The sequence below is a fragment of the Homo sapiens genome, chromosome 9, assembly GCF_000001405.40.
Source record: "Homo sapiens chromosome 9, GRCh38.p14 Primary Assembly".
NCBI lineage: Eukaryota > Metazoa > Chordata > Mammalia > Primates > Hominidae > Homo > Homo sapiens.
In genome coordinates, this window is record NC_000009.12 from 88,125,301 (window position 1) to 88,139,004 (window position 13,704).

The window sequence follows — 13,704 nt, forward strand, 5'->3', positions numbered from 1 at the left end:
ACATTTGTACAAATGCTGGAATGATATAAGATTTGGAGGGGCTGTAGAGAAGGCATCATTGTATTTTGCAATGTGAGAAGGACATGAGATTTGGGAGCCAGGGACAGAATAATAAAGTTAAAGGTGGGGCCTGGTGGAGGGTGATTTAATCATGGTGGAGAGGGGGGGTTGGAAGGTGGGGGTAGGGAGAATGAGGGGATTATGGTGGGGGTGAGGGGTGAAAAGTGGTGGTCGGGGGTGGATCCTTCACAAATGATTAAACACCACCTCCTTATTGCTGTGCTTATGATAGTGAGTTTTCTTCATGATTTTGGAGCTGTGAGATTGAATGGATACTGGCCTCCTGGGTTTTGGACTTGCATTGGGCCTGTGGTCCTATTTGTGTTTTTTTCCTGGGAAATTTCTTCCCTTTCGATTGAGAAAGCTTATCCAGTGCCTTTACCATCATTGTACCCTGAAAGAAAAGAACATCCTTTTAAATTCAGGGACTCATAGGCAAAAGGGACTGTAGACTTGTCTCAGATGAGATGTTGAACTTTTTACTTTTGAGTTAATGCTGGAATGAGTTAAGACATTTGGAAGGAAACTTTTGAAAAGGCATGAATGTATTTTGCTCTGTGAGAAGGACATGAGATTCTGGGGTATCAGGGTCAGAATAATATGGTTTGGCTGTGTTTATTTACAAAACTCATGTGAATTGTACTTCTTAATGTTGGAGGTGGGACCTGGTGGGAGGTGATTTAATCATGGCAAGAGGGGGTTGGGGTTGGAAGGAAAAGGGGTGGGTAGGGTGGAGAGTAGGTTGGCAGTAGGGTGGTGGGAGGGTGGGGGGTAGTAGGAAGAGGGAGTAGTCTGCTGTAGAGGCAGAGGTTTGTGGAAAACCTCTACTAGGACAGTGAACCTGTGGCTTTGCAGGCTTCAGCCCCCATGGCTGCTCCCATGGGCTGGGCTGGTGTGGAGTGCCTGTAGCCTTTCCATACTGAGGGTGCGAGCTGTTGGTGGGCTTATGAATCTGGGGTCTGGAGGATGGTGGCCTCCTGTGTGGGAGCTCCAAGCCCATATTTTCCTTCTGCACTGCCATAGTGGAAGTTTCCCAAGAGGCTCTGCCTCTGCAGGAGGCTTCTGCCTGGCAACAGTGGGTGGTGGTATGGGCGGTGGTTCCTTCACCAATGGTTAATCTTCTTGATGCTGATCTCCTGATAGTGGGTTCTCTTGAGATCTGGTTGTATAACAGGATGTAGCACCTCCTTCCTCTCTCTGTCTTGCTCCTACTCCTGCCATATGAAATATCTCATTGTCGCTTGGTCTTCTGGTATAGTTAGGAGGGCCCTGATCAGTGTGGGCCTCGTCAGTGGACCTAGTCAGTTGGGACTTGGTCAGTGAGGCCTGTTTATTGGGGGCATGGTCAGCAGGGGTCTGCTTAGAGAGGGTCTCATTAGGGGGATCTAGTAGTGGGCGTCTCGGTGAGTGGGGACCTAGTGGCAGCCACTTGTTTGGTGTCTGGTCAGTGTAAAACTAGGCTGCAGGACTTTGTCAGTGGAGACCTGGTCAGCTGGGGCTTAGTGGTGGCCTTGTCAGCATGAGCTGGGTCACTGGTGACCAGGTCAATGGGTGCTATTCAGTGGAGGCCTGGTCACATGGGACCTAGTCAGCAGGACCTGGTGGCCATGTCCTCATCAGTGAGGCCCTTGTCAGTGGGGCCCTGATCAGGGCAGCCTGGTCAGTGGAACCTAATCAGTGGGGGCCTGTTCAGAGAGAGCGTGGTCAGTGGTGGCTTTTGTAGCACTGGTCTGTGGGTGACCTGGTCAGCAGGGATCTGAGCAGTGGGTGCCCATTGAGTGGGGCCTACTCACTAGGGTCATAGTCAGAAGTATCTGGTCACCTTGGGCCTGCTTAATAGGGGCCTGGTCAGTGGCAGCCTGTTCCCCGGAGGCTTAGTCAGTAGAACCTCATCTGTGGGGCCAGGCAATGGGGTCATGATCGGTGGAACCTGATCAATGAGGCCTTGTCAGTGAGGACCTGGTCAGTGAGGCCCTGGTGTGTAAGGTCGTGGTCAGTCAGTAGGGTCCTGGTCACTGTGGGCCTGGCAGCAGGGCCTGGTTAGTGGGGCATGGTCATGGGGTTCTAATCAGTGAGGGTGTGGTCAGGGAGGACCTGATGTGCGGGATCTGGTCAGCAGGGACCTGGTGCGGGGGCTGCTGAGCACTGCTGGGAGATGCCAGGTGCAATGCACGTTATCACAGGCCCTATGGACAGCTCGGATGGGCCAGTGGTGCCCAAAAGCCCAGTCAAAAGTGGACAAAGCAGGTGTTTGGATGGACCTGGGAGATCTTGCTCAGAGATTTTGACAGGACAAAGGCAAAGGAAGGGCCAGAGTGGCCGGTGAGATGGTCACAGTCTATGGGCTGCACGGGATGGAGGAAGCCAGGGAACAGACAGCGTGGGCAGCTGGGGTGCAGGGAGAGGCAGGTACATGCTGGGAGGTCAGATCCTGTCAGTGCTGTGGGGGCGTCAGGTGGGGTGGGCTCCAGTTGCACCCTCAGTGCACTGGGCAGGTCTCAGCCCAGGCTCCCTGCACCCTGGCCGAGTGATGCGGTCACTCCCTGGGGGACTTCCGTCGGGCCCCAGCCACCCACCCTGGGCAGTGCTGTCCCATCTCAGGACTGGACTTTCTCAGATCCTGCAGAGGGCACAGCCTCCAGCCCAGGAGGGGCAGCCCCATGGTGCAGCCCGAGATCTCCATGGACCTGGAGCATCCCCTGCCAGCCCTGCGCTCCCTCTTCTTCCAGGTCCCGCGTTTCCAGTGTCAGCCAGCAGGGAGGCCCCGTCCTCCCTTCCCTATGTGTCTCCTGGGCAGAAATTTGTGGTGGATTGGGACAGGGATGGTGCTTCCCTCAGGCCCGTTTAGGGAGGGGACTGACTCCCAGCCTGGCACAGGTCCTCAGCTCTGCCTTGGTTGCCTTAGAGTGAGAAGGATCATTCCTGAAGGTAAAGGTAAGAGACTGTCCGTGCTGTGTGGGAGGCTGGTCTAGAGATGGAGGACGTAACAGTTCCTCCCAGTCTGTCAGGCCTGGGCAGCACCGTCCTGTCTCAGGACTCAGAAAGTCCAGTCCTGCGATGGGACGGTGCTGCCCAGGGTGGGTGGCCGGGGCCTGACAGCAGTCCCCCAGGGAGTGACCACATCACCCAGGTGGGGTCCAGAGAGCCTGGCCTGAGACCTGCCCAGTGCACTGAGGGTGTACCTGGAGCCCACTCCACCTGATACCCCCACGGCCCTTGCAGGCTCTGACTTCCTAGCAGGGTCATTCACTCATCTGGGGCAGGGGAGTTCACCGCCCTCAGCAGCCTCCATGAAGGCCGTCCCCCCAGCCCCCCGCCCCCCACCTACACATGCACAGAGCTGGAAGGTCTATCCCCACCACCACTCCAGAGTGCGAGAAAGGGAGAGGCAGTGGGATGGGGACTCTGTGCTTCACATGTTGGCTGAGCTAAGAGGGCCCATCTCCATCCCAGCCTTTGTCAGGGAGAGAAGGGGCTTTCCAGGGCAGACATTATCTATTCTTCACCAGGATACCCAGGGTCAAGACTTCTCCCACTTCTGAACTCAGGGTCCAGCACTCTCCCACCCAAACTTCCACTATTTTGTGACACATGAAGTTATTCGGCTGTGGCACTTCCTGGAGCCTGCATGGAGATGTTCAGCCCTGTGACATCTCTGCAAACCTTCTCCCTATAGTTGCATAAAGTTTGAGGTGGACAGTAAGTAGTGGAAAGATGGGTTGAACCTTATTTCAGAGTGGGATCTTCATAGGTTTTTCTCATCTTGTTTTTAGAATTTTTTGTTGTTTGTGTAAAGATGGTATTACGGAAACATAAGGTTCAGTGAAGGAACTCAGGATGAAGGTGGGCTTACAGCACCGCTGTCAGCCTCCCTCCATGTCCTGTTGCTTCTAGAAACCAAGCCCACACCAAGCACAGCACAAATAAAAGCCATCACCCTCTTATGAATAAAAAACCGTATATATTGTGGAATATTAAATGTTCTGCGTGTACTAACATGAGAGAAAATACTTTTCCTCTACATAGAGTGAATTTTTTCTTGGTGACTTGTTTTTCTCTAGGGAAGGCTAAAAAGGAATTTGTGACTGACCAAATTAGATACCTCCCTGAAAAAGACAGTGCCTTGGTCAGTGGTGATGGTGGCTGGAGGCACTGGGTGTCTTCGGCCGGTGCTGAGGGGGACTGACTGGGGATACAGCTTTCTTGGGGAGCAAGAGTTGGGGATGTCGCAGGCCCCATTGCTCATTGTTGCACCGGACACTTTTCAAGGGCTACTGATCTCTGATTTGTCTGTCTCTGTTGGGACGACTCTGGTTCTTGAGAGTGGCTTGTTGACTGCTGGCTGCATAGCTCAGCATTCTGCTGTGTTCTGAGTAGAACGGGTGTCTGTGGTTGCAGGGAAACCCACAGACTGGGGCTTGAAACTGCTGTCTTTGCTGATTTACCTTCGAGGCATGGCGCGCATGGCAAAGTGACATGTTCTCCTCCAGTATCTGTCCAACTGCTGTCATGAGCCTCTCAGCTTCAGCACTGCTGCCGTACACGCATGATCTGTTTTTTACTGTTTTTTGGCTCTCAGCAGTGACTGGTGCTGGCTTCCTTTCTTTCTTTGAAAAAATCGTCTGAAAAAATTGCTTGATGTTTTCTCCAAAGTGGCTTATTGAAGGAGGCTGTTTCTTTGATGGCAGTAGCTGGACGCCTTCATTCTGACGGGTGTCTTCTGTTTTCCTGCCTGGGGTAAGTTGAGGAGTCCTCAATCCTTGAAACATTTCTTCATGTTTTTCTAAGTTGGGCTTCCTAGAGTTCTCCCTCTTGTGAGTAGGGGGAAACATTGGGCTTTGGCTCTTGCATGAGCCTTGACAGTTTGGGTTCCTGGGCTCCTTGTGCCCCATGTTACTCCTTCTGGCTGACATGAGGTCACATAGCTCCTGGGAAGCCTGCATGTTCCCAGTAGGCATGCTCTGGAGATGGCCCTGGGGCACTTGAGAAGCCAAATTCTCTGAAGCATGGGGCACAACAGATGCTTGCCCATCTGGAAGGAGCACAACAGTGGCAGAAACTTGAGGCTGGGTCTCTGACTTCGTGGCCTTTCCAGGCTCAAATTCACTAACAGCCTCCTCCATGAGACACAGCTTTCTTGGGTCTTGGGAGACAGACATTCTAGGGAGTAGAGAGCTTTTGCTGGCGCCTGGAGCCTTGAAACCACGCACATCCTCACTTGTGGCTTGGAGGTTTGCTCTCATACAGGTTCCCAAGGGGACTGTGGGTTGTGGCACTGCCTCCCTGGTCTCTCCAGCCCTTGAAGATTGGGCTCCTAAGCTCCTGCTCTGCTGGGTGCTGCCTGTGAGGCTGTATGTGAGGGGCTTAGATGGCCACCTGCCCTCCTGTCCAGCTGTAGGAGCCTTCAAGGACCCATGATCATTCGAAGATGGGATCCCTCGCGGGGCCCTCTGGAACTGCTTACATGCAGGTGAGGAGGCCTGAAGCCTCTCTGGCATGTGAACAGATGGTTTGGTCAGCACCTGCTTTCTCAGACTTGCCATTGGTGGCTCTCCAAGGAACGTGGCCACCTCAACTTTTGAGCCAGCCCCAGATTCGCAGGTGTCTGAGGAGGGACCAGCAAGCTGTATAAGGGACAAGGATGAAACCTTTTCCAGTTGAAAGCACTGAATGGGCTTGAGGACCCTGAGGGGTAGACCCCACCTGTGTTTGGCCCAAAACCTCACAATATGGGCTCCCAGCACCTGCTGAGTACACGGCTCAAGGAAGGAAAGCACCTGGGCTGTGTTCACACAGGCTTTCCTGCTTTTCGGGGCTGCTAGATTGCTGGTTTTCACGTGGGTGTTGGAGACGGGAAAAGCCTGGTTGACAGCAAGCCAGGATCGACGCACACTCACGGGGATCAAGCCCTCGTTGGTCTGGCCCAACTTTCTGCTCATGTGGGCTTTCAGGATGTTTTCTATATGATTCCTCTCTGTGCGTCTTAATAAATCACTTCCTGAGTCACTCCTCAAGGGCTTCCTCAGGTTCCTTTCCGACTCCTCAGAGGTCGCCCCCAGAACCTTCCCTGGGAAGCTTTCCATGCCCCTGGATAGATTTTGTGGGGTCTCACCCAGAATTTGCCCCAGATGTGGGCATGGGTCCCTCTCTAGCTGGAACTTCACCGTCTGTGCCTCCTTGCTGCTTTCACCTGTGGACGTGGAGGACTGCCAGGGCCTGGGTTTGCCCTTGGCCTGACTTGTCCCTGGCAATTCATCCTGAAGCTGCATCAGATCCAGAGACTCTTGGATCCTTCCACGTTGCCCCATGTGTTGCTCCAGTTGTCTCCAGAGTTCAGGACTGACTGGAAAGTTCTCAGGCAGAATGGATGTCAGTCTTTCCTGGGGAAGGTTAGGAGTGGAGACACTAAAGACGTCCTGAGATTTTTGGACCCTAGAGGGTAAAGCCAACCCACCTTCTAGTTGTTTCTTCAACAAAGGCCTTTCAGGGTGCTGAGTTTCAGGTAGGGAGAGAGCTTGCACTTTATTCTGCGACGCAGGGCAAGCTACTCCAGTGTTCTTCATCGGGGATAGAAAAGCAGGAGATAGGACTGGGAAAGAGGATTGAAGATGGGCCTGAGCCTCGGCCTGAGCCATAGGTGTGGGCCAGAATTGGGGTGTGGATGAAATAAAGGGTTGGGACTCAGGCTCCAGATGGGACAGGGGCTGGGCCTGGAAAAGCAGTGGGGACATTGTAGTGTCCCTTTGGCGGGAAAGATGATCTTGCTGGACTGACGAGTTGAAGACGCACCAGGTTTTGGTAGTCTCCTGCGACCAGGAGAGGGCAGAAACTTGACTGTTTGAGCCGCCAAGGCCTGAGATGCCTGGGACAGAAGCCGCCAAATCCTCACGTGGAGACAAGCTTTGAGGGACGGTGTCCAGTGGAAGTGCCACTGAGTCACAGTGAGATGGTGTTAACAGAGTGGAGTCCCGCAGGGGAGGAGGAGTGAAGCCTTTCGGAGGAGGCGGAGAGCAGGCCAGAGGATCAGGAGTGCGTGGTGGGTGAGGGAAAAGTGCAGGTGGCTCGGGTGAGGGATGTTCTAGGAGAAGGGAAGGTTCTGGTGGCTGGGAGGCACTTAGGGAGGAGACTGAGGTGGTCATTGGGCCTGGTGGTGGGGTGGAGGCCAGATCCTGAGGATGCTTGGTTCGAGGATCCGGGGAAGCTAACGGGGAGACAATGGGAGCAGCGTCTTCCGTAGGCTCATGAGAGGACCGGGAGGCTCCATCAGGTGTTCTTTTGCCCACCTCACCTGGCGGGTCTGGACCAGAGAGCTGACCAAAGTCACCTTTTTCAAGGTGTGGCCCCAGGAGGCTGCAGGAGACAGGAGGCACAAGCTGCAGCCAGGAGCAGATGGGTTCGGAGGGCAGAGTGGGCGCTTGGGCCACAGCCCCTCCACCACGCCACACCCTGACCACCCAATTCTCCTGCTACCCCTCGCCCCAGGGCTTTACTCCCATCCTCTGTCCCCCTGGTCTCTCCATCCCAGGTCAGCTCCAGGCTGCCTGTGGCCCTGGGGTCACGTCCCAGCCCTGGTAGGAAGGACGCAGGGAAGGGGAAGTGCCTCACCTCTGCAGTTGTGAAAGCAGGTCCCAAGTCTCCTCCAGGCCTCTCGGGCACTCTCTACAAGCTGGAAATCAGACCGGGTTAGGGCAGTGAGGGAGGGGCTTGGGATCTCACAGGAGGCTGAGTGTATGTTTCTTTAGGGAAGACCATGGGGAATTAGACCCTGGAACCCACCCATCTGTGTCCAAAGCCACATGGCCCCGACGGTAATAGCAAGGCATAGAGGACAGGGCTTTGTCATTCACAAAGGGCTTCCACACACAGACCCTCCACCCCCACGGTCCTCACAACTGCCCTGTGAGGAGAAAGGACTGGGGTGGTCTCAGAGAGGAATCAGCCTTAGCAGAGTTGAACAGCTGTTCCCAGGGAGCGGGAGGCCCCTCACCCCCCTCCGCATCCAGGCAGGCATTGGTCTCCCCAGGACACACACACTGCCCCCTGCTGGGTAACGCTCAGTCCCTGGCCCACCATGGCTTCATTCCGGCGGCACAGAATCTGAGAAGGACCCAGGGTTCTGATTTCCTTCCTAGGAGCCCCCACCTCAGGTTTTTTCAACTGACTTCTTCAGAGTCAGTTCCCTCCCGGACAGATGAGATCAAATTAACTCTAGTGTGCCCTGGCAGAGCCTTACCTCTCAGACTGTGGTTTTTCATCCTGCCTCTGGGCCTCCCCCTCCGCCCTGCTGGACGCTGGGAGACAAGATGACGCTGGGAGACAAGAAATGGCGAGGAGCTAGGACCGGCTCTCCCTCTCTGCCCCCAGCCCAGCCGCAGCACGCTGCACTCATGAACCGCATGGCTCTGTCTGTCTTGCTCAGGGAGCTCTGTGTGCTTCCTCCCCTCCCACTCATGTTTAAATGGATGATAAACTGCTTTTCTTAGAAAAACAGGAAGAGGGGGTCGGGTGCAGTGGCTCACGGTGCGGTGGCTCACGCCTATAATCCCAGCACTTTGGGAGGCTGAGGCAGGTGGATCACCTGAGGTCAAGAGTTTGAGACCAGCCTAGCCATGGTGAAACCCCATCTCTACTAAAAATACAAAAATTAGCCAGGCGTGGTGGCGGGCGCCTGTAATCCCCAGCTACTCAGGACGCTAAGACAGGAGAATAGCTTGAACTCTGGAAGCAAAGGTGGCACTGAGCCGGTATCGCTCCATTTCACTGCAGCCTGCACAAAAAACAAAATAAATAAAAATAACACACAAACACACACGCACACACACAGGGATTTTCAATATGAGGTCCACCATGGACGCCATCAGTCCCTGTTCCTCTGCTCCAGGAACACCCAGGCTCAGGCCCGCAGGCACCACTGAGCTGTCAGGTAGCATTCTGCTTGCCAGGAGACCAGAGGAGATGCCAGGCCCCGGTGGGAGGCCCTCGGGGGCCCAGCACAGGCCCCATATCACCCCACACAGAAGAGGCTGGGTCCCGAGCCACCTGCCCCAGGAAGGGACTGATGAGCCAGGGCTCAGGGCCTGGCCTCGGACAGAGACCTCCCCCGTCTCATGACCAGAGACCTCCCCCGTCTCATGACCGGTCCTGGCCGCTGAGCCCACGGGTTTGATTTTGCCTTCATGCCTCCTGCGCTCCCCCACAGATGGACTGAGAGCTTGGGATGGAAATCCCAGTACACGATCTACCCCTACCAACCCCTGGCTGCCCTGCCTCTCCCTGGAAGCATGCTGTTCTGGTCTCTCCTGAGACTTCCCATCGCAGAAGTCTCCACTGGATTTGGAAAGGTGGAACTAATAATAAAAAGAAAGAAGAGAATCAAGCTCTGTGGGTCTGGACTGAGAGCTCCTTACCTTTCTCTTCTTAGGCGATGGTGAGGGTGGGTTGTCACAACGGAGGTAAGAGAAGTAGGGGAGTAATAGGAAGAAGAACCCCAGGGCAAACACCAAGGTGAGGAAGATATCCAACACCCATGGTGTGGAGCTGGGGGTGTTTAGTGATGAGGCACTAAGTAATTTTAGAGGAAAGGGAAGATTCTCCATGTGAATAGGCGCATTGCTTTCTAGCAACTGAGCTCTGGGCATCCTCGTGGAGACTAGGGACTGGGGCCCAGGCCCGCATCACAGAGCTGGGGCTTCACATCACAAAGGGCTCCTTTGTTGGGGAGGGGCAGTAGGAGGGGGAGGCCGAAGCACAGCCCCTCCCCACCCTCCAAGCCGGGGATCCCTTCACCCTCCCGCCTTCCAGATCCTTCCTTCGCACTAAGTTTTGTCAGTGATAGAACTCAGCCAGTTTTCTATTCTTTCTCCCTGGAACACAGATATTACCTGGTTCCTTTTATCTATTGGAGTCGGTGGCTTGAGGTTACCTATTTCATAGCCTTTGAAAATCTGTAGTTGACTCTGAAATTTTGGCTATGTACCAGGGATTTTTATTTTCAGAATCTCGTTCGTCCTCAACTCCGGCTTTCCCACACAATGTTTTTGTCTTCTGTGAATCCAGGGACAAAATGTAAATTTCTTTTACTCTTATTTAGTTTTGCAAATTTTGAATAGTAAGTTTTAAAAAATTATTTCTATCTCACTTTCCTTTTTTTTTATTTTTTTTATTTTTTTGAGACGGAGTCCCTCTCTGTCGCTCAGGCTGGAGTGCAGTGGCGTGATCTTGGCTCACTGCAAGCTCCGCCTCCCGGGTTCCAGCCATTCTCCTGTCTCAGCCTCCTGAGTAGCTGGGACTACAGGCGCCCACCACCACCACGCCCTGCTAATTTCTTTTTGTATTTTTAGTAGAGACGGGGTTTCACCGTGTTAGCCAGGATGGCCTCGATCTCCGGACCTTGTGATCTGCCCGCCTCTGCCTCCCAAAGTGCTGGGATTACAGGCATGAGCCACTGCGCCCATCCTTCTATCTCACTTTGAATCAAAGGGACCTACCCACATACAATTAAGATTTTTTTAAAATTCTATTTATGTACTTATGTAATTTTATTTTAAGTTCCGGGGTACATGTGCAGGACCTGCAGTTTTCCTTTCTTTTTGAGATGGAGTCTCACTCTGTTGCCCAGGCTGGAGTGCAGTGGCACGCTCTTGGCTCACTGCAACCTGTGCCTCCTGGGTTCATGCCATTCTCCTGCCTCAGCCTCCCGAGTAGCTGGGACTACAGGCATGTGCTACCACGCCCGGCTAATTTTTTGTATTTTTGGTAGAGACTGGGTTTCACCGTGTTGGCCAGGATGGTCTTGTTCTCCTGACCTTGTGATCCGCCCGCCTTGGCCTCCCAAAGTGCTGGGATTACAGGCGTGAGCCACCGTGCCGGGCCTGCTGTCTTATTTTAATGTCTCTCTGGGCTTGATAATTTAAAAGGACTGGCATTCCTCTGATAAAAGTTATTTTATTTTCTCATTTTCCATCAATCTATCCTGTTCAGTGAAATATCGGTTCGTGCCTTTAGCCCATTTTCTAATTGGCTTGTTTTTTCTTGTTGTCGTTGTTGACTTTTGAAAACTTTAAACAATATTCTAGATATGAGCTCCTTGTCAGATATGGTTTATCAGGTGTGGTTTGCACTTTTCTTCCAGTTTTTACCCTGTCTTTATTAACAGGCTCTTATGCAGGGCAAAAGTTTTAAATTTTGATAACATCCAATTAATAAATTCTTAGAATTGATTGTGCTTTTCTGGTTCATGTCTAATAATTATTCATCAAGTCCTAGGACCTGAAGAATTTCTCATTAAATTTCATATTTTTACATTGAGATGTGATCTTTTTTTTTTTTTTGAGATGGAGTCTTCCTCCATCTTCATATCTGACCACCATTGGTATCTAATTGGTTTTCTTATTGTCTACCATCCCCAGGTGATATCTGATCACTCTGGCATGGCTTCAGCAAGAATTCTGTGAGGTCAGTTTAGCCAGATTCCCTCCTATTAGTAATTTTCCATACACTACCACCCCTCCACCCTGCTCTGTGGCTATAAAATTTCTATTCAGAGGGAAACCTGAATATATGGAAACTGGAGATTACTGCAAGACCCTATTGCAGTAATCTCTATATCTATTGCAATAATCCCTCTGAATAACGTTTGTCTTACTATTTTTTAACAGGTGTCACGAATAGTTTTTTCTATAATACAGCTCAACAAAACAAGTCTGAAATAGAAGAATAAAGTGGGAGGAATTATTCTACCCAATTTTTTAACTTTTTACATAGCTACAGAAATCAAGACAGTGTGGTATTGGCAGGGGGACAGACAGTTCAATAAAACAGAATTGAGAACTCAGAAATAGTTCCATACAAGTACAACCAACTGACTTTTGAAAAAAGTGCAATATCGGTTCAATAGTACAGTGGTTCTGGAGCAGTTAGATACCATAGACAAAACAATAACCTCAATCTAACCTCATGTCTTTATTAAAAAAAAAAAGGATCAGCCGGGCGCGGTGGCTCATGCCTGTAATCCCAGCACTTTGGGAGGCTGAGGCAGGTGGATCACCTGAAGTCAAGAGTTTGAGACCAGCCTGGCCATGGTGAAACCCCATCTCTACTAAAAATACAAAAATTAGCCAGGCGTGGTGGCGGGCGCCTGTAATCCCCAGCTACTCAGGACGCTAAGACAGGAGAATAGCTTGAACTCTGGAAGCAAAGGTGGCACTGAGCCGGTATCGCTCCATTTCACTGCAGCCTGCACAAAAAACAAAATAAATAAAAATAACACACAAACACACACGCACACACACAGGGATTTTCAATATGAGGTCCACCATGGACGCCATCAGTCCCTGTTCCTCTGCTCCAGGAACACCCAGGCTCAGGCCCGCAGGCACCACTGAGCTGTCAGGTAGCATTCTGCTTGCCAGGAGACCAGAGGAGATGCCAGGCCCCGGTGGGAGGCCCTCGGGGGCCCAGCACAGGCCCCATATCACCCCACACAGAAGAGGCTGGGTCCCGAGCCACCTGCCCCAGGAAGGGACTGATGAGCCAGGGCTCAGGGCCTGGCCTCGGACAGAGACCTCCCATCTCATGACCAGAGACCTCCCCCGTCTCATGACCAGAGACCTCCCCCGTCTCATGACCGGTCCTGGCCGCTGAGCCCACGGGTTTGATTTTGCCTTCATGCCTCCTGCGCTCCCCCACAGATGGACTGAGAGCTTGGGATGGAAATCCCAGTACACGATCTACCCCTACCAACCCCTGGCTGCCCTGCCTCTCCCTGGAAGCATGCTGTTCTGGTCTCTCCTGAGACTTCCCATCGCAGAAGTCTCCACTGGATTTGGAAAGGTGGAACTAATAATAAAAAGAAAGAAGAGAATCAAGCTCTGTGGGTCTGGACTGAGAGCTCCTTACCTTTCTCTTCCTAGGCGATGGTGAGGGTGGGTTGTCACAACGGAGGTAAGAGAAGTAGGGGAGTAATAGGAAGAAGAACCCCAGGGCAAACACCAAGGTGAGGAAGATATCCAACACCCATGGTGTGGAGCTGGGGGTGTTTAGTGATGAGGCACTAAGTAATTTTAGAGGAAAGGGAAGATTCTCCATGTGAATAGGCGCATTGCTTTCTAGCAACTGAGCTCTGGGCATCCTCGTGGAGACTAGGGACTGGGGCCCAGGCCCGCATCACAGAGCTGGGGCTTCACATCACAAAGGGCTCCTTTGTTGGGGAGGGGCAGTAGGAGGGGGAGGCCGAAGCACAGCCCCTCCCCACCCTCCAAGCCGGGGATCCCTTCACCCTCCCGCCTTCCAGATCCCTCCTTCGCACTAAGTTTTGTCAGTGATAGAACTCAGCCAGTTTTCTATTCTTTCTCCCTGGAACACAGATATTACCTGGTTCCTTTTATCTGTTGGAGTCGGTGGCTTGAGGTTACCTATTTCATAGCCTTTGAAAATCTGTAGTTGACTCTGAAATTTTGGCTATGTACCAGGGATTTTTATTTTCAGAATCTCGTTCGTCCTCAACTCCAGCTTTCCCACACAATGTTTTTGTCTTCTGTGAATCCAGGGACAAAATGTAAATTTCTTTTACTCTTATTTAGTTTTGCAAATTTTGAATAGTAAGTTTTAAAAAATTATTTCTATCTCACTTTCCTTTTTTTTTAT

The 13,704-nt window shown here is 52.1% G+C and overlaps 1 protein-coding gene across 2 annotated transcripts; it reads right to left on the reverse strand.

The window, feature by feature from the left end:
- Nucleotides 1–4,004: 4,004 nt before the first annotated feature.
- SPATA31C2 (SPATA31 subfamily C member 2) lies at nucleotides 4,005–13,175 on the reverse strand. Of its 2 annotated transcripts, none has more exons than NM_001350978.3 (4): nucleotides 12,958–13,175; nucleotides 8,294–8,369; nucleotides 7,666–7,726; nucleotides 4,005–7,410 (listed from the first exon to the last, which is right to left on the reverse strand). In NM_001350978.3, the coding sequence occupies exons 1-4, from the start codon at nucleotides 13,144–13,146 to the stop codon at nucleotides 4,332–4,334; spliced, it is 3,405 nt and encodes a 1,134-aa protein (NP_001337907.1). In that variant the 5' UTR covers nucleotides 13,147–13,175; the 3' UTR covers nucleotides 4,005–4,331. The 2 variants fall into 2 exon arrangements, with proteins under 2 accessions (NP_001337907.1, NP_001159609.1); NM_001166137.1 differs by lacking the exon at nucleotides 12,958–13,175 and adding an exon at nucleotides 9,468–9,685.
- Nucleotides 13,176–13,704: the final 529 nt, after the last annotated feature.

Coding starts and splice junctions, on each gene's coding strand:
- SPATA31C2 (NM_001350978.3), bottom strand. CDS start 13,146: ATGGAGAATCTTCCCTTTCCTCTAAAATTACTTAGTGCCTCATCACTA. Junction 8,370..12,957: donor CATCGCCTAGGAAGAGAAAG/GTAAGGAGCTCT, acceptor CTTGTCTCCCAG/CGTCATCTTGTCTCCCAGCG. Junction 7,727..8,293: donor GAAAAACCACAGTCTGAGAG/GTAAGGCTCTGC, acceptor TCTGATTTCCAG/CTTGTAGAGAGTGCCCGAGA.